This window comes from Homo sapiens, chromosome 3, assembly GCF_000001405.40.
Source record: "Homo sapiens chromosome 3, GRCh38.p14 Primary Assembly".
NCBI lineage: Eukaryota > Metazoa > Chordata > Mammalia > Primates > Hominidae > Homo > Homo sapiens.
Window position 1 is genome coordinate 165,431,675 of NC_000003.12, and position 19,364 is coordinate 165,451,038.

Consider the following 19,364-nt stretch of genomic DNA (forward strand, 5'->3'; position numbering starts at 1 on the left):
TGTGATGCCTCCAGATTTGCTCTTTTTGTTTATCTTGCTTTGGCTATGTGGGCTCTTTTTAGGTTTTATATGAATTTTAGGATTGTTTTCTCTAGTTCTGTGAAGAATGATTATGGTATTTTGATGGGAATTGCATTGAATCTGTATATTGCTTTTGGCAGTATGGTCATTTTCATAATATTGATTCTACCCATCCATGAGCATAGGATGTGTTTCCATTTGTTGGTGTCATTGATGATTTCTTTCAGCAGTGTTTTGTAGTTTTACTTGTAGAGATCTTTCACATCATTTGTTAGATATATTCCTAAGTGTTTTTGTCTCGTTTTATTTTGATTTTTGCAGCTGTTGTAAAAGAGATTGAGTTCTTAATTTGATTCTCAGCTTGGTCATTGTTGGTGTATAGCAGTGCTACTGATTTGTGTACACTGATTTTGTATCCTGAAACTTTATAGAATTTATTCATCAGATCTAGGAGCTTTTTGAAAGAGTCTTTAGGGTTTTCTGGGTATAGGATCATATCGTTGTCAAACAGCAACAGTTTAACTCTCTCTTTACTGACTCGGGTGCCTTGTATTTCTTTGTCTTGTCTGATTGCTCTGTCTACGATTTCTGGTACTATGTTAAATAGAAGAGGTGAAAGTAGGCATCCTTGTCTTGTTACAGTTCTCATGAGGAATGCTTTCCACTTTTCTCTGTTCAGTATAATGTTGGCTGTGGGTTTGTCATAGATAGCTTTTATTACCTTAAAGTATTTCCCTTCTATGCCAATTTTGCTGAGGATTTTAACCATAAAGCAATGCTGGATTTTGTCAAATGCTTTCTCTGCATCTATTGAGAAGATCATATGGTTTTTGTTTTTAATTCTGTTTATTTGGTGTATCACATTCATTTACTTGTGTTTGTTTAACCATCTCTGTTTGTAGCTTACCTGATGCTTTGCCTCACAGCTCTTAAGATTCTTTCCTTCATCTTGACTTTAGATATTTTGATGACTGATGAATGTCTCAGGTGTTCTTTGAGCTTCTTGCATTGAGATGTTTAGATCTCTAGCAAGAACAGGGAAGTTTCCCTTGATTATTCCCTGAAATATGTTTTCCAAACTTAGATGTCTCTTCTTCCTCTGGAACAGCAATTATTCTTAGGTTTGGCCATTTAACATAATCCCAAATTTCTCTGAGGCTTTATTTGTTTTGATTACTTTTCTTTTTTCTTTTTCTGATTGGGTTTATTAAAAAGCTTTGTCTTCGAGCTCTGCAGTCCTTTCTTCTACTTGTTCTAGTCTATTGTTGAAAGTTTCCAGTGCATTTTGTATTTCTCCAAGTGTGTCTTTCCTTTCCAGAATTTGTGATTGTGTTTTCTTTATGATATTTATTTCTCTGGAGCATTTTATAATCTATATCCTGGTTTTTTTTTAAATTTATTTTCATTGCTTTTCACCTTTCTCTGGTATCTCCTTGAGTAGCTTAATAATTAACCTTCTGAATTATTTAACTGGCCATTCAGAGATTTATTCTTGATTTAGATCAATTGTTGGGGAGACGCTGTAATCTTTTTGGGTGTTATAGATCCCTGTTTTGTCATATTACCAGAATTACTTTTCTGATTTCTTCTCATTTGAGTAAACTCTTTCACGGAAGAGGTCTGGAACTCAAGATCTGCCGTTCAGATTCTTTTGTCCCAAGGAGTGACTCCTTGATGTGCTATTCTCCTCCTTCCTTAGTGATATGGTTTGGTGCTGTGTCCCTACCTAAATTTCATCTCAAATTGTAATCCCCATGTGTCAATGGAGGGACCTGGTGGGAGGTGATTGGATCATAAGGACAGTCTCCCCTATGTTGTTCTCATGATAGTTTGGGGGTTCTCATGAGATCTGATGGTTTAAAAGTGGCAGTTTCCACTGCATTCTCACTCTCTTCCACCACCATTTAAGACGTGCCTTGCTTTCCCTTCACCTTGTGCCATGGATTCCTGAGGCCTCCACAGCCATGTGGAACTGTGAGTTAGTTAAACCTCTTGTCTTCATAAATTACCCCATCCTAGTTAGTATCCTTATACCAGTATGAAAACAGACTAATAACAGAAAATTGTTACCAGGAGTGGGGCATTGCTATAAAGAAAACCTGAAAATGTGGAAGCAACTTTGGAACTGGGTAACAGGCAGAAGTTGAAACAGTTTAAGGGTTCAGAAGAAGACAGAAAAATTTAGGAACATTTGGAACTTCCTAGAGACTTGTTGAATGCTTTTGACCAAAATGCTGATGATAATGTGGACAATGAAGTCCAGCCTGAGGCGGTCTCAGATGAAGATGAGGAACTTACTGGGAAGTAGAGCAAAGGGTTAGGTGGGTCTGGGCTAAGACTCTTTTTAGGTAGGGTTTCTCATAGCCACCATGGGGGTTGAGGTGGTGGTTCTCAGGACAATGGGGTTATGTTCCGGAGGGGATTATGGCTGCCTCTGCTGTGTCAAATAGTTCACCAGAGAAGTAGGGGATAGCTGTAACAAAAAGCCTCACCCAGACCCTAGGCAGTTGGTGAGGCAGGTCTCGCTCCCACAGTGTCCCTCTCAGACCTTGCCTCAGGCTGTAAGCTTCCCCACTAAGAAAGCAAGCATGGCTTTCGGAACTTGCTCCTCTCCATCTTGCCACATTGTCATTAGTGGCTTCTGTGCTCATATCGGCAGCAGTTCCCATTCACCCCCAAGATTCTGCTGAAGATCATTAGTGCCCAGTAAAAATTATTATAATTTTCAGTTGAAAGCTTCTTTCATTCTGTGGCCCCTCCCTAAAACCACTGGTTGTCTTGCCTCAAGGCCCTGTGAGATATAGTCAGGGATGGCTTTTCTGGGCTCAAGCTGGAGACCGAGAGTGCCTAGAAGGCTCTTCCCACTGCTGCTTCTACTTTTATATTTAATGTGGCTCCCTAAATCAGTTTCAGCTCTAGATAAGGTTAAATTCTTCTCCCGTGATCTGTGTTTTCAGATTCCCCAGGGATGTCTGTTTGGAGACAGGTTTTACCCCTCTCATACTTTGGGAACTCACACTATTTTGCCTGTTTCATGGAATTTGCAGTGGTGTGCTGCTTCTTTCAAAGGATCTGTGAATTCTTTTGGTTTTCCTGGTATGTTTCTGTGATGGTTCTTGGAGCCAAAGTTCACAGTGTGAATCTCCACATACTGTTCTTTCCGTCCAAGTGGGAGCTGTATGTTAGCCCCATCTGCTATCTGCCATCTTTCTCAGATGATGATCTAGAAAAGTTTTAATGTTATCTTCTGTATCCTAAAGTTTTTCTGTGTCTCCTAATGTCACTTATTCCATTTTACATTTTTATTCTTCACATTCATTTTATTGATTTTTTCCCCAGTATCCAGTGTTCCTTGATTCTTTATTTACATTTATGGTTAAAATGTATTGACTTGTACACGGGACTTGCCATGTTTTTTATTGTGACATTAGGACCTCTCTCTTTAACAGAGCTCACTTTTGCAGAGGATGACTGACTGTATGTTCTCTATAAGTGGGTCATACATTTTTGATAATCAGGGTTTTCTATAGAATGCATGGACAGCAAATGGGAAACTAAGTTGGTGGCTCCCAGCATTTCCAAAGTTAAGGGGAAGTCTGTGAAAAAAGGACCATGAGATCCGCAGAAAGAAAAAAAAGGAGAGCTTTATCTTCTTAAAAAAAAAAGGAAGAAAATAAAACAACTGCAGATTGGGGAGATGCAACCTGTGATGTAAAAGAAGAGCAGACAGGTGGTGGGGTGTTTTGAGAGTTAGTGATTATAGAGGCAATAATAACAGGGGATGGGAGTCAGGGAAGTGAGAAACAGAAACAGAATCTTGATTGAATGACTGTGTAGCCCCAAATCACCTGTCACTCTTAACTGGTTGGTTCCAAGTGGTTGATGAGTTGGCACCAGGTAGTCTGTTGGTAGTCAGTGGGGGAATGTCCAGCTGCAGTCTATTTCAGTGCTGACAAGAGGAGCTGGTTTGGCTTGATGGTAGGAAAAAAAAAGTTCTGTGACACTTTTACAATAACTTTCTGAGAACACAGAGAATGCTCCCTGACCCAGCCATGGATACCTGATTCTATTTTAACTTTGAGCACCTCAGTTAGTCACAGAGAGTCCATTCTGCCTGAAAGGGGCATAGGTTAATGGCCCTGAATCTACCTTTACAAAATTATGACACTCAGAGAAATCTGACATAGTTCACTTAATCTTGCTTCTGATTTCCAAGCTGTTCTTGTTCTTTCCTGGGCGTAGGCCAAAGTAACTTGGAGGCAAATTTAGTTTCTGGTTTAACTTAAAAGCAAGGATGATAAGAGTCCCTCTCTAAAACTAACCTCCTCTTTGCTTAGGAACCAAAAACCACGTATGTAAGACTAACAGAAGGCCACAAGAATAGGCCTATGGGTGGGGCATGAATTCTGCTAGGATGTAGGTGCAACTTCTATAGTTTTAATGCTCAGGAGTCATATGACCAGATATCACAAGATTTGTGACTTCCCCAATTGCTCCTATAGATAACATCACTATTACAAAACCTGAGATTGGTCTTTTTTGAGATGTTTTTCAGACTCACCAATCCAGAATTGTAACTCATAACTCAATTGGTTCTATGGGCTGCAGCGGCAGACCCAGTGCAAGAGGACTATTTTCCACACCTCTAAATTTTATCCGCTACCAATCAGGAGTACCCATTCCTTAGCACCCTGTCCACCAAATTATTTATAAAATCCCTAACCTCTGAGCCTTCAGAGAGACTGATTTGAATGATAAGTTCAGTAATCCAAAATGAGCCAGCCTCACATTGATTTGACTCTTTCTCTGCTGCAATGCTGCCATCTCAGTGGACTAATTTTGTCTGTGCAGAAGGCAGGAAGAACCTATCAAGTGATGATAGCCCCTATAACAAAAGACGGATTAACAAGAGAAAAGTATACACATATATTTAATATAAGTTTTACATGAAAGGAGAGCCTTCATAAAGAAATGAAGACACCCAAAGAAACAGTTAAACCCGAGTATTTTTCATATATCTCACAGTCATGAGATATATGATAGGACAAAAGGCCTTATGTCATAAAAGGACAGATATATCTTTTCCTCCCATCTCAGGTTCATGGCTATGGTCCCTACAACAAAAGACAAATTAACAAGAGAAAAACAACATACATTGTTTTTTTTCTCTTTTTTAGATAGGATCTGGCTCTGTCACCCAGGATGGAGTGCAATGGTGTCATCTTGGCTCACTGCAACATCTGCCTCCCTGGGCTCAAGCCATCCTCTCATCTTGGCCTGCCTGGTAGCTTGAACTCCTGAGCTCAAGTAATCCACTTGCCTTGGCCTCCCAAGGTGCTGGGATTGCAGGTATCAGCCACTGTGCCCAGACTTGAAGACATACAAATTTATTAAATGTAAATTTTATGTGATATAGGAGCCTTAATAAAGAAATAAAGACCCAAAGAAACAGGTAAATGTATATTTTTATACTTAGTTTGATGAAGAGTGAACAGTCATGGAGAAATATGATTGGAAAACACAAGTGTACAATCTCATGGCAATAAACTGGGGGGAATTTAGCAAGGCCTGTTTGTTCAGATTTTTCTTTATGTTTCTGTGTCTTCAGGGATATGAACATTCTTGTTCCTTTCCTCCAGGAATAGCGAGGACATTTCTCTCATGAAGGTCTTAATAGCCTGCCAGGGGAGAAAAGTGGTAGAAGGTCAAAAACTAAACTTTCTGGGTTTTATTACTTGCTTTAGGAGAGAAGGGCAAGAGGAAGTTGAGAGTGACTTTTCTGCTTCTGCTGTTTCCTCAAATGCCAAGTTCCCATATTTTGGAGTAGTGTTTCCTAAACTTTATCAATCAAATGTTAATAACTTGGGGGAAACTCAGTGCTGAAGCTCATAAAATGATTCCCCATAATCTGGCACTTTGGCATGCTGAGCATTTCACATTGAAGGAAATTTAAAAGGCCTTAGAAACAGCCTCAGAACCAAGGGTCTTCTGATCTTCTATTTTTCTCCCCAGACACAGAGGGGAACTCTCTCTCTAAAGTTCCCTTACCTGAAGCTCCTCCTTAAGTAATATAATTGCCTTCGATCACTTCCTTGAGATTCCATTAGCCAGGAAAGATAAAACACATATCACAGAAAGGAAGACTGAGAAAAGTCACCACACCTATATAGATTTTGTCAAATGCTATTATCTATTCTTCCGTCGATTCAACTTCTAGAGAGAATTATTTACACGTTATTGTCTCTTTTTGGGCCCAATCAATTCATTGAAAATCATTTACTATCCCCTAAAAATTGCCTACATCCTCCATTTTCCTCTCCTCCATAAAGAGGGGATTTGAGCCTCATCTGGCCCTTCTTTGATTCTCGTATTTTGCATGGCTCCCATGCACATCTGTACATTAATAACGTTGTATGCCTTTTCTCCTGTTACTCTATTGTCAGTTTATTTCTGCAGACTCTAGCCTTGAGAGAGGAAGGGAAAGTTTTCCATTGTCCCTACAGCAGCAAGGACTATTCTTCAGATTCTTCCCTGTGACCTTTTGTCTCCAGATAGAAGAATGTTCCTTTTCCTCGGGTATAGGGACATCACCTCTCATATGAGTATCTTATGACTCCTTCAGGGGAAGTTCAAAAAATTCTTTCTAGGTTTTATGATCTTCAGGGGAGAAGGGGAGGGTTGGGGTGGAATAAGGTAAAAGAGACTTGCTTCTGTGGTTTTCTTGGATGTTTTCAACCCAAAATACTAAATATGCCAAGGTGCTATATGTTAATTTTTTAAATACATGATTTAAAAGCATGTTTTACAATACATTTAATTTTTTTTTTTTTTTTTTTTGGAGAAAAGGTCTTGCTTTGTCACCCAGGTTGGAGAGCAGTGGTGCAATCATGGTTCACTGCAGCCTCAACCTCCAGGGCTCAAGCAATCCTCCTACCTGTCTTCCATGTAGTTGGGGCTACAGGTGTGTGCCACCACACCACACCCAACTAATTTTTTGTTGTTGTTGTTTTGTTTGTTTGTTTTGTTTTTATTTGGTTTTGTTTTGGAGACAGGGTCTTGCTCTGTTGCCCAGGCTGGAGTGCAGTGGCACCATCTCGGCTCACTGCAACCTCTCCCTCCTAGGGTCAAGTGATTCTCCTGCCTCAGCCTCCCGAGTAGCTGTAATTACAGGTATGCACCACCACACCCAGCTAATTTTTGTATTTTTTAGTAGAGACAGGGTTTCACCATGTTGGCCAGGCTGGTCTTGAACTCCTGACCTCAGGTGATCTGCCCACCTCCACTTCCCAAAGTGCTGGGATTACAGGCATGAGCCACCGCACCTGGCATTTTGTATTTTTTTTAAGAGATGGGTTTCACCATGTTGCCCAGGCTGGTCTCAAACTCCCAGGCTCAGTCAATCTGCCAGCCTCGACCTCCGAAAGTGCTGGGATTACAGATGTGAGTTACCACACCTGGTCAACAAAACTTATTCCTTAAGGGAATAGTGACCATGATGAGAATTTGAGCTTAATTCTTTCTGCTCGTGTTCTATCATAAAGCACTTGGCAGAATTTCTGGCTGTTTTTCTTGGCATTGTTTTTGTTATTATTATTACTGTTATAAAATCTGTACTTTTAAAAATCATAAAAATTTCAGATATGATACATGCATTTTACATGTTACACATTTTTCTGTATATAAATAGACAGTTTTCTAGTTATGTACTGGTGTTTGACAATCTAATTATATTCACTATTATTTTTCACAAGTCTTAATTTAAAATCTAGGAAAGTATTACATATTCCCCTTAAACGTTATACAAGACAGACCACCATAAGTAATGTAACCAATACTCACACCCATTTGTATCAACTGAGTGTTTTACTACTGTTGAGAAAAGTAGTCATAATCTTTCCTTATGAAGATAAAATTGGAATGATTTATTTCTGCTTCTTTTTGTGGTTGTGTTAATGCTACATGTGAAGAATGAAATCTCTGTAAATGTATTACACTTTAACTTACATTTTCAATTTTTTTCCAGAATTTATATGTGTAGAATTGAAGGTTTACTGCATTAAAACACAGTGGTGACTGGTATTGGATCTCTGTATGAAATAACAGTTGAAAGGAAAGGAGAAAGAGATGAGAAGAATGAGGAAGAAGGAGTGATGCCAGGGAAAATAAAATGCTCATTTTACTCAAGGGCATGTGAAAGGGAAAGGGGTGGATAAAGGATGAAAATATTTGATAGTATGATGCAACCTGAAGGAAACTGAATGATACAGGAAACGTGACTTTCTTCTGTTTCTGTTCATCTTCATTGGTTATTTCCCCTGTGGTTTACCTTGTCCTGTGTTTGTAAAGAGAGATCGAGCCTTATCACTCAGATTCATTCTCTCCTGTGTCATTAGAACTTTGAAAGGCAAGATTTGTTGTCCTTGACAGATATACTATTATCTTTCTTATCAGATCCTTTTGGTAGCTTTTTCTAAAGATCATAGTCTCTAAATCTGTAGCTTCCTTTTGTTTTCTCTTTGCAAGAAGTTACTAAAAAATATCTTTTTCTCCTCCCTTCTTTCCTATTGTTTTCTTCCTTGCTTCATTAACCTCTACTCAGCCTGACATTTTGTGCAGTTGTGTACTACAAATGCTTTGGACTGACATGACATATATCCCTTTTTTGGCACACTTTATGGATGTTTCATTGCTAGAAAAAAATACTCCCTCCTAATTGCTTATTATTGGCTATCCAAACCACCTGAGTAAGTATTAGAAAATACTTTTAGAATATCTTTTATGACAACATTAAAAAATAATTTTCACATAAAAGGGGACTTTTGGGTCTGCTTACTCTACTGAGGTGAAGTTTCTCATTTGCTGTTTCACATTTAGCTAGGAGCTAGCCGCAAGCTCTATTTGTGGGACTATCACCAACTAGTGGTTTTGTGTTCAATGGCTAGGCCCCGTACTTTCAAGTTTCTCAGTTGCATAAAGTTCTGGATAAGTAGTCAAGCTATTACTGCTATTTTAGATTATTTTGTAGAATATTTTGTGTTCTGTATTTATTTATTTTTTTCTGGAATAACTGTGGTAATTCTAATTAAATTTATCTTTGCTATATTTGTAGAATAACTTTTTAAATTTCTTCACAACTACAATTAATTAGTGATTAAAATAATTCATTCATCAAAACATTTACATTAAACTCTCTCTGTACATTCCAAATTGCCATGTCATTTTTAAATTATATAATCTTTTTAATCTCACAACTATTTTTTAATAAAAATTTGATATTCCTAATTTTAAAATCGAGTAACGTGAATATTTTAAAAACTCACTACCTCAAGCAATACTACCTTGTCTTCATTTTTTTTGGGCAGCTATAACAAAATACCATAGACTGGTTAGCTTGTAAACAATAAAAATTTATTTCTCCTAGTTTTGAAGCCTGGGAAGTCTAAGGTGTTGGCAGATTGAGTGTCTGTTGAGAGCTTTTATCCTCGTTTGTAGATGAACCTTATTACTGTGTCTCCACATGTCAACATATAAAACCTATGGTAAGGCTTGGAGAGACACATTTGGACCATAGTACAGCTTATTAAACTGTCTAGAAATCATTTAAGGAGAAAAGGTTACTTTTTCAAAGGAAAAATATAAAATTATATCACAGATCTAAGAATGTGTTGCAAAAAAAAATATTTTTCTCTTCTCACTTGGGTCCAGTGGTTGGTGGCCTGGAAATTAAATGACAATATACATATTGACAGGAGAAAAGACAATGTTGATTTATATGCTTATGAAGGAGCTCTCAATAATGGAAAAAGTCATAGAATAGCCGGAAGTAAATGTTTCTATATATAAGCTTAATGAAAGGAAAGATTTTAGGGCTCCAATGAGAGAGTATGAGAGATTCCATAGGGTTGTTTAATGGTAACAGAAATGGATTATCTTCTTGGCAGCTAATTTGCAGGAAACTCCCTTTGGGGAGGGTTAATAACAGCTATGTTTTGGGGAGTTTATACTTTAGCAGATAAGGGAAGTTCCAATAAGATTTCTGCTGCATCTTCTCTAGTTCAAATATTTTCAATTTAAAATAAATGTTATGCCAAATTTGGGAGTCAAAGAGGATCCCCACAAATGGTAGAGCTAGAAAATTCTACCTTAAAAATCTTCATGTTGTTACATTTTAAGTTTGTTTATGAAATGTCTGTACTATTATCAAGCTTTTTAAAGAAATTGCCTCTGTTGCATGGTTCTTGTTTTTAAATTCAATAGGTTAAGGCAATCAAACAGTATTTAGTGAGACATGGATCATAAAGCAAAGTGTAATTTGCTTATATTTATTTTAATTTTAAACACATCAATGCATATATACTTAGTTTCAAATTTATACTGAAAATAGTTTAGACTTTTAAACTAAAGGAAATAAGTTAAGAATTGGGAAATGTTTTTGAGATTTCTATAAAAATTAGTTAAGAAATCATCATCTGCTATGTTTCAGCATCACAAAACATATCAGATGAATGTTTCTTAAGAATTGTGTTTATAAACTTGTAACTTCATTCTGTAATTCTCATCTAAAGCAAATTAATACTTCTCTCCCCAGTGTATATCAGTGCTTGGCATAAAGTACACACACATGTTTGTTAAATAAAGAAGTAGATAAATAAATGCTTTTTCAACTTGAACTGTTATGGTTGTATATTTACAGCATAGAAAGAAAAAAATAAATTAATTTTTAAATCATTAAAGATAATTTCTTTCTGAACTCTTTTAGGATGATAATACATGCCTGGTTTTGTGTAATAGTTCTGCTTTATACTTGTCTTATTGTAAGTATTAATAATATCTCTGTTTACTCCCAAAGTGTCCTAGTTTGGGCAGTAATTTATATGGTTCTTCTACTTATTTTTCACATGGGATATATAAAGTGTGTATGTATATGGCAGAGAATAGAAAACTGCTTGTGTTGCTTCACTATTTTTATTTCTATTCTGGTTCCTGAACTAAATGGTTTGAAACCCCCAAATTTTGGATTTCTTACATAAATACGACGGTTTTTTACCTCAACATATTACTTTGGTTGCAAAAGTCTAATGCCAAAACTTTTATATAATTTATTTGAGTTGAGGCACTCAAAGCCTACTAAAATTATATATTGCATGTATGCTTATTTCTGAGCTATTACTAATGCAGTTTTTTATTGTTGGGGGCCAAGACTTTTGGCTCCCTAAATAAAGGTTCACTGAAAATCACTGACATGAGGCAAATTAATTAATAATAGAAAAGGCATACATATTTATTTAATGTGTATACAAGGGAGCATTCAGAATGAAGACCCAACTTCCCAATGCAGTACAGAAGCTTATATGCCATCTTGAGATTACAGACAGAATGAGGTTACAGAAAAACAGGTTATGTATGGGACGGGGAGAAGAGGAACTCCGTTGAAGGGCAATAAATGATTACTAGGGAAAATGATGGATCTGGGAACATAAATTAACTTGTAAATAGTTCTCTTTGGAATTTAAATGATGCTTGCAGATAGTCATTACCTCAAAAAAAAGGTCTGTTCCGGTGTGGATATATCTTTGGTCTTACAGAGAGGGAAGAAAACTGTTATATTCCCTGGTGGGTCCAAATCTTGGGAAGATAAAGAGGCTTCACATTTTGGTGTGCTGGTTTCTGAGTACCAACATTATTGTCATCATTAGTGAAATAATGTGGAATACAGTGATTTGCAACTTGCAGAATATTATACAAATGGAAAGTAGGTGAAACAGTATTCGTTATAGGTGTTTTCTAAATATGTCCAGCTTTCCTTCCTTTAGACATATAATAGAATTGTCCTTTGTTGCCCCCTTAAAGCTAAAAAAAAAAATAGCCAAACAGAAACTTTACAAGCTGTTTCATGATGTATTATCTTCCCTGCCCATGAAAACTTAAGCTTCCGTGCAATCTTAGCACTTGGGTGTCTGAGTGAAACCCTTATAGTTCTCCATGTAGCATCAATAGGAGAAATCAACTTTTATTATGTTAAGCCACTGATATTTTAATGTGCTTTGTCACTATAACATAACATATCTTACATCAACTGCTAAAATAACCTTCTTACCTAGTACCTATCATCTGCCTTTGAGAAACAATTGCACTATTTGCTTTCAAAGATGTCACAATCCCTCCCAGTACCTTGGCCTTCTTTCCTGCTGAGGTCAGATGGCCACTAGTCTTTTTTGACCACACAATCTGTAATCTCTCAAAAGAAAATGTCATGGTGTTTTACAGCTGGAAGTTATCATAGGAATTATACAGTTGCAGTCCATCATTTAGATAAGTCACGTAAAATAGTATAGCCTAAATAGGTCTGATAGTCACTCCTTATGTGAAGTCAGAAAAGTACTTAATCTTTCTCAATTTAATTTTCTTAACTTTCAAAATGTAGATAATCACACCTTCTTGTCAGGTTTCTTTAAAGGACTAAGTTAATTTAAGTGAGCTCATCAGCACATTGTGGTCATAGGACATCTACATATCCCTTTGTTCCTTACTGGTTACATCAGGTTACACAGGTAAAGAGTGTTAGAGCTAGGACTTAAAAATAACATCTATAAGAGTTTTATATGCTTCAGTGAGCTATGATCACACCACTGCACTATGATCACACCCAGCATGGGTGACAGAGCACAAGACCCTATCTCAAAACAACAAAAATAGTTTTATAGTTTTATTTTTATATTAATTAGCTATTCTTTGTAAACTACAACCGACTTGTTATTCAGCCAGAATAGGAATTATTATTGTATCTATTTCACAATAGCCAATTAAGACCCAGAGGCTGCAATTAGTCCAAAATCACCATTAGTATATAACAGAACTAGAGCTCAAACCCGTGGCCTCTGGCTTGAACATTGTGCTCTTTGTTTTCTGCTACCTGAAGCATAAACACGGTGCTGTGGACTTTCTAGCCAGGGCTTTTCCACTAGAAATAACCTTTGTACAAGTGGACATTTCTGAATTTCTCAATACTCAATAGTGAAGATAATATGAAATAACAATTTATATATTTTAGATTGTACTGATGGGATAAAAATTTCAAAATAAACTCCTATGTAATCAAGAATTTGGCTGGCCTTTGCCTCCGATTCCCAAGAAGTAGCTTCAAATCCTTGGAAAGGATGTAAATCTTTAGGGAACGGAATGTCTTTATCATTCTTGGTGAGCCTTGATGATGATACATTTGTCCTAAGGAGGTAATTCATGGGCGCCCCTAGAAAGTTTGTGTTAATGAGATGACTCAGAATAGAGGTTGTACATAGCAGAAAGACCAACAATATGATTAGAGGTTTAGGAGCTTTGAACTACGTGATAATAGCATAACCTCTGGGTAGAGGAGAGGGGCTGAAGACTGAGTTCAATCTCATAGCAAATGATTGAATCAATCATGTCTACCTAACAAAACCCCAGTAAAAACTGTGGGCACAAATCTCAGATGAGCTTCCCTGATTGGCAATAATCTACATATGGTCACATGTAGATATGACAGAAGGGTGATTCCTCCTGACTCCATGGGGAAAAGGCAAAAGATCCCTCTTATTTAAGATCCTTCCATACCTTGCCCTACAAATCTCTTCTTTTGACTGGTTCTGATTTGTATCTTTTTGCTATAATAATGCTCTAATCATAAGAATAGCACTTTCCTTTGTTCTGTGAATTATTGAACCTGAGGAGTAGTAGAAGCCTTAAATTAGTAGCCAGCTCTGCAGTGAGGGCATTCTTTTGGAAATCTATGTCCTTAACCTGTGAAGTTTGGCCCAACTCTAAGTAGTATCAGAATTTATGGCTTAAACATACTCCAAAATCGAGAATATAAATGTATAATATAGACAGTGCTTTCTTTCTTTTTTTTTTTTTTTTTTTTTTTTTTTGAGATAGAGTCTCACTCTGTCACCCAGGCTGGAATGCAGTGGCTCAATCTCAGCTCACTGCAACCTCCGCCTCTCGGGTTCAAGCAATTCTCCTGCCTCAGCCTCCTGAGTAACTGGGACTACAGGCGTGCGCCACCATGCCCGGCTAATTTTTGTGTTTTTAGTAGAGACGGGGTTTCACCATATTGGTCAGGCTGGTCTTGAACTCCTGACCTCGTGATCCACCCACCTCAGCCTCCCAAAGTAATAGGATTACGGGCGTGAGCCACTGTACCTGGCTGTCGACAGTGCTTTATTTTTGATACTTTCAACCCTTAGGTAAAGACAAACAACATTTCAAGTTACCTCATATTTTTAAAAGTTTTGCATTATGTTTACACTAAATAATGAAGGATATTTCCTAATCGTATATTTTTTATCATGATTAAAATAAATTGCAGGGCAAATTTATGTTACTCTGGAAGTAGAGAAAATCATGATGGCAGATCGGAGGCAGGACTAATCTGCAACTTCCACTGAGACAGACAGACCAGTGTGTGGAGACTCACATCATGAACTTTTGCTCCAAGAACTACTGCAGGACCATACCAGGAAAGCTGAGAGAATCCACAGAAGGATCTTGATCACCACCGCAGGCTCCCTGAGATGCTGAAGAAAACTTGTGAGTCTGCTTGCTTTCTCAGCAGGGAGGCTTGTGGACTGGGGCAAGTTCTCAGCCCTGGTCACTGGCTACCTGGAAATAGACTTGGTGGTGTTGGGGAAGCACAGTGGGACTGAGAACACCCTTTAGGACTGCAGGCTGCATAGGAGCAGGGTGAAGCCTGTGACTGCTGGCTTTCCCCCACTTGCCTGGTGACCTGTATGACTCAGCAGAGGCAGCCATAATCACCCCGGGAATATAAATCCATTGGACTGGGAACCACACTCCCATCCCCTACAGCAGCTGCAGTAAGCCCCGCCCAAGGAGAGGCTGAGCTCAGACACCCATATCTCTGCCCCCACTTGGTGATCTGTCTCTACCCATCCTGGTAGCTGAAGACAAAAATCATAATCATAATCTCTTGGGAACTCTATGGCCCTGCCCACTGCCTAAGAAACCTGACTACTTAACCAGGTGTGCCTAGGGCAAGTTCGCATTTCCTTATAGGGCTGCAGCTGATGCACTCTCAAAAGTGCCACCTCCTGGCTAGAGGCCAACAAAGACAAAAGCAGCACCCTAAATAAAAACACGACCAAAGTCCCTCACAAAGTCCACTTCACTCCCCTGCTACCTCCACCAGAGCAGGTGCTGGTATCTATGGCTGCAAGACCTGAAGATAGATCACATCACAAAACTCCTTGAAAACACTCCTCAGTACCAGCCTGGAGCCCAGTAGCTCCACTGGGTGGTTAGACCCAGAAGAGTGGAAACAATCACTACAGTTTAGCTCTCAGGAAGCCCCATTCCTAGGGGAAGGAGCAGAACACCACATTAAGGAAGCACCCCGAGGGACAAAAGAATCTGAACAGCAGACCTTGAATCCCAGAGCTTCCCATCGACATAGTCTACCCAAATAAGAAGGAACCAGAAAAACAATTCTGATTCTTTAATACCCCCTGAAAACAAGGTTCTTTAATACCCCCTGAAAATTATACCAGCTCACCAAGAATGGATCCAAACTAAGATGAAATCTCTGAATTGCCAAAAAATAATTAATAAGGTCGATTATTAAGCTAATCAAGGAGGCACAAGAGAAAGGTTAAGTCCAACTTAAATAAAAAGCATGATACAGGATATAAAAAGAAAATTCTTCAGTGAGATAGATAGCATAAATAAAAAACAATATAACCTCTGGAAATCAAGGACACACTTAGAGAAATGAAAAATGCGCTGGAAAGTCTAAGCAATCAAGTTGAACAGCAGAAAAAAAAAAACTTAAGCGCTTGAAGACAAGGCATTTGAATTAACTCAAACCATTAAAGTCAAAAACAAAAGAATTTTTTCAAAAAATGAACGAAGGCTCCAAAAAGTTTGGGACAATGTTAGATGTCCAAACCCAAGAATAATTGGTGTTCCCAAGGAAGAAGAGAAATCTAAAAATTTGGAAAACATATTTCAGGGAATAATTGAGGAAAACATCTCCAGCCTTGCCAGAGATCTAGACATCCAATGAAAGAAGCTCAAAGAAGACCTGGCAAATTCATCACAAAAAAAAATCACCCGGGCACATAGTCATGAGGTTGTCTAAAGTCAAGATGAAGGAAAGAACCTTAAGAGATGTGAAGCAAAAGCATGAGATAACCCATGAAGTAAAACCTATCAGATTAAGAGCAGATTTCTCAGCAGAAACCCTACAAGCCAGAATGGATTGGGGACCTATTTTTAGCCTCCTTAAACAAAACAATTATCAGCCAAAAATTTTGTATCCAGTGTAACTAAGCTTCATAAATAAAGGAAAGATTCAGTCTTTCCCTGATAAACAAATGCTGAGAGAATTTGCCGCTACCAAGCCAGCACTACAAGAACTGCTAAAAAGAGCTCTAAATCTTGAAACAAATCCTCCTCAAAATACACTAAAATAGAACCTCCTTAAAGCATAAATCTCACAGGACCTATATAACAATAACAACATTAAAAAAAAAAAAGGTATTCAGGCCACAAATAGCACACGAATAGAATAGTACCTTACATCTCAGTACTAACATTGAACGTAAATAGCCTAAATGCTCCACTTAAAAGATACAGAATGGCAGAATAGATACAAATTCACAAACCAAGTTTCTGCTGTCTTGAGGAGACTCAACACATAAGGACTCATATAAACTTAAGGTAAATGGGTGAAAAAAGATATTCCATGAAGATCGACACCAAAAGTGAGCAGGAATAGCTATTTTTTCTATCAGATAAAACAAACTTTTAAGCAACAGCAGTTAAAAATGACAAAAGGGGACATTATATGATGATAAAAGGACTAGGCCAACAGGAAAACATTGCAAATCTAAATATATATCCACCAAACACTGGAGCTTCCAAATTTACAGAACGATTACTACCAGACTGACGAAATGAAATAAACAGCAAAACAATAAAGTGGGGGACTTTAATACTCCACTGACAGCACTTGTCAGGTCATCAAGACAGAAGGTCAACAAAGAAACAATGGACCTACAGTACCTACATTGTACTCCACAACAAATGGACTTAACAGATATTTACAGAACATTCTACCCAACAACTGCAGCATACACATTCTACTCATCAGCACATGGAACACTCTCCAAGATAGACCATATGATAGGCTACAAAACAAGTCCCAGTAAATTCAAAAAAATCAAAATTATATCAAGTATTCCCTCAGACCACAGTGGAAAAAAATTGGAAATCAACTCTGAAAGGAACCCTTAAAACATGCAAATACATGGAAATTAAATAACCTGCTCCTGGATGATGGTTGGGTCAACAATGAAATCAAGATGGAAGTTAAAATTTTTTTTTGAGCTGAACGACAATAGTGACACAACCTATCAAAACTGGGATACAGCAAAACAGTGCTAATAGGAAAGTTCACAGGATTAAATGCCTATATTAAAAAGTCTGAAAGAGCAAAAATAGACAATCTAAGGTCACGTCTCATAAAACTGGAGAAACAAGAACAAACAAAACTGATGGATACTGGGGGAAAAGGTAGGGGGTGGCAAGAGATAAAAGGCTACAGTTGGGTACAGTATACGCTGCTTGGGTGATGGGTGCTGCAAAATTTCAGATATCACCACTAAAGAAATTATTCATGTAACCAAACACTGCCTGTTCCCCCAAAATCCATTGAAATGAAAAATTAAAAAATTTTTAAAAATCTTACTCTGAATATTCTTTATTTTATTTATTTTCTGAGAACACAGTTTTCAAAACCTAAGATACCCTTATCTGATGAAAATATGACAGAAAGTTAAGATTGTTCTTTCTGTGGCATGAACAAATGGACGTTTATTATAAATTCTCTTTATGGGAGTGTGAAATATATTCTTAGTTGTATTTATGTTTCAGTAATAATGTTGCTTTCTTCCCTGGCAATGTTGAATAAACAAAGCATGCAATAATTGAACAGTACCAAATAATAGCATCACAGGAATTTGCAAATATTAGAAAGCAGGGCTTTACTCCTGCCTTCAGAGAGCTGATGATAAGCAGCCTACAATTTCACAGTGGTCTTTTTTCAATCTCCTAGACAATACACATCCAATTTCCACAAGGAACACATCCTCTTAGTAATTTGCTCTGCAGAATTGGGATGGTAGTGGATTTGATGTTACACTACCTGCTTTATTGCCGATTAGTAATCTCACCATGTCCAGTCATCATTACCTGCCAACTCCATAATGAGAAAAAGGTTGCCATTTACAAAGTTCTCCCTTGGTGAAATATTTCATTGTTATATAACTTTGAAGTGTTACAATTTGTTTTTTGATGAACTCATCTAATATCTCCTGCTTTGCACTAATAACCTCAATAAAATTTGAATAGATACTATCTTAAATTCATGATTGGTAAGATTATTCATCTTAAGAGTATATCAATATTAGAAGTAATTTTTTCTCTTGATAATAAAACATATTTAATTTATATAAATATTTCTTTTTAGTTACCATTTAATGGACATCAACTTCTTGCCAGGCAATGTACTAAGTAGTCTTCTTATAGTTATCTTCTTAATTCTTTCTCTAAATCTCTACCAGGAAAATAAGATTTGCATATGCTCTGAATTGAAATATATACCTCACTAGGGAAGGAACACTGTCCGTTTTTCCAGTGTATGGAGGACAAGGCTCTTGGCCCTCTATGATTCACTGAAAATTACTGACATGAGGCAGATTAATTAGTAAAAGAAAAGGCATACAAATTTATTAAAGGCATATACATGGGAGACTTCAGAATGAAGTGAAGACCAACTTCCCAATGAGGTGCAGAGGCTTATTTACAATCTTGAGGTTACAGAAAGAATGAAGGCTTGGATCCTGGTAAAATAGGTTAGAAGAGCAGGGGAGAAAAGAGGAATTCTACTAAGGCACAATAAATGTTACTAGGGAACAGAAATAAAATTGTAAATTGTTTTCTATGGAATTAAGGAAATCTTAGAGACAGTGTTTCTGGAAAAGGATTCTGTTCAAATATAGTTATGTTTCTGGTTTTCTTTCCTGTAATGGATAATGAGATAACAAGGAGAGGAACAAGAATAATTGTTCTCCTTTGTAGGTCAGTTCTTATCTTTATGTAGATAGGAAAAAAGCCTATTCCAGGGCTTGTTAATCTAGGAGAGACTTTAATTTAAAGTACTCATTATATCAAGGAGCCATATTTTGGCATGTAATATTTTTATTTCCTTCAAATGGCATATATATATATGATATACATGACATGTATGTCATATATGTGACATTTATGACATATATGATATATAC

The 19,364-nt window shown here is 37.3% G+C and overlaps 1 long non-coding RNA gene across 5 annotated transcripts in view; it reads left to right on the forward strand.

Annotated features, from left to right (window-relative positions):
* The window catches only part of LINC01322 (long intergenic non-protein coding RNA 1322), a 332,490-nt gene that overhangs the window by 224,727 nt on the left and 88,399 nt on the right, over window positions 1-19,364 (forward strand). The window contains exon 4 of one of the 5 annotated variants that reach the window (NR_174100.1): window positions 14,369-14,589. The exons of the other annotated variants lie outside the window; for them this stretch is intronic. This is a non-coding gene — a long non-coding RNA (long intergenic non-protein coding RNA 1322). The remainder of the gene's footprint in view (window positions 1-14,368; window positions 14,590-19,364) is intronic. 5 annotated transcript variants of the gene reach the window in all.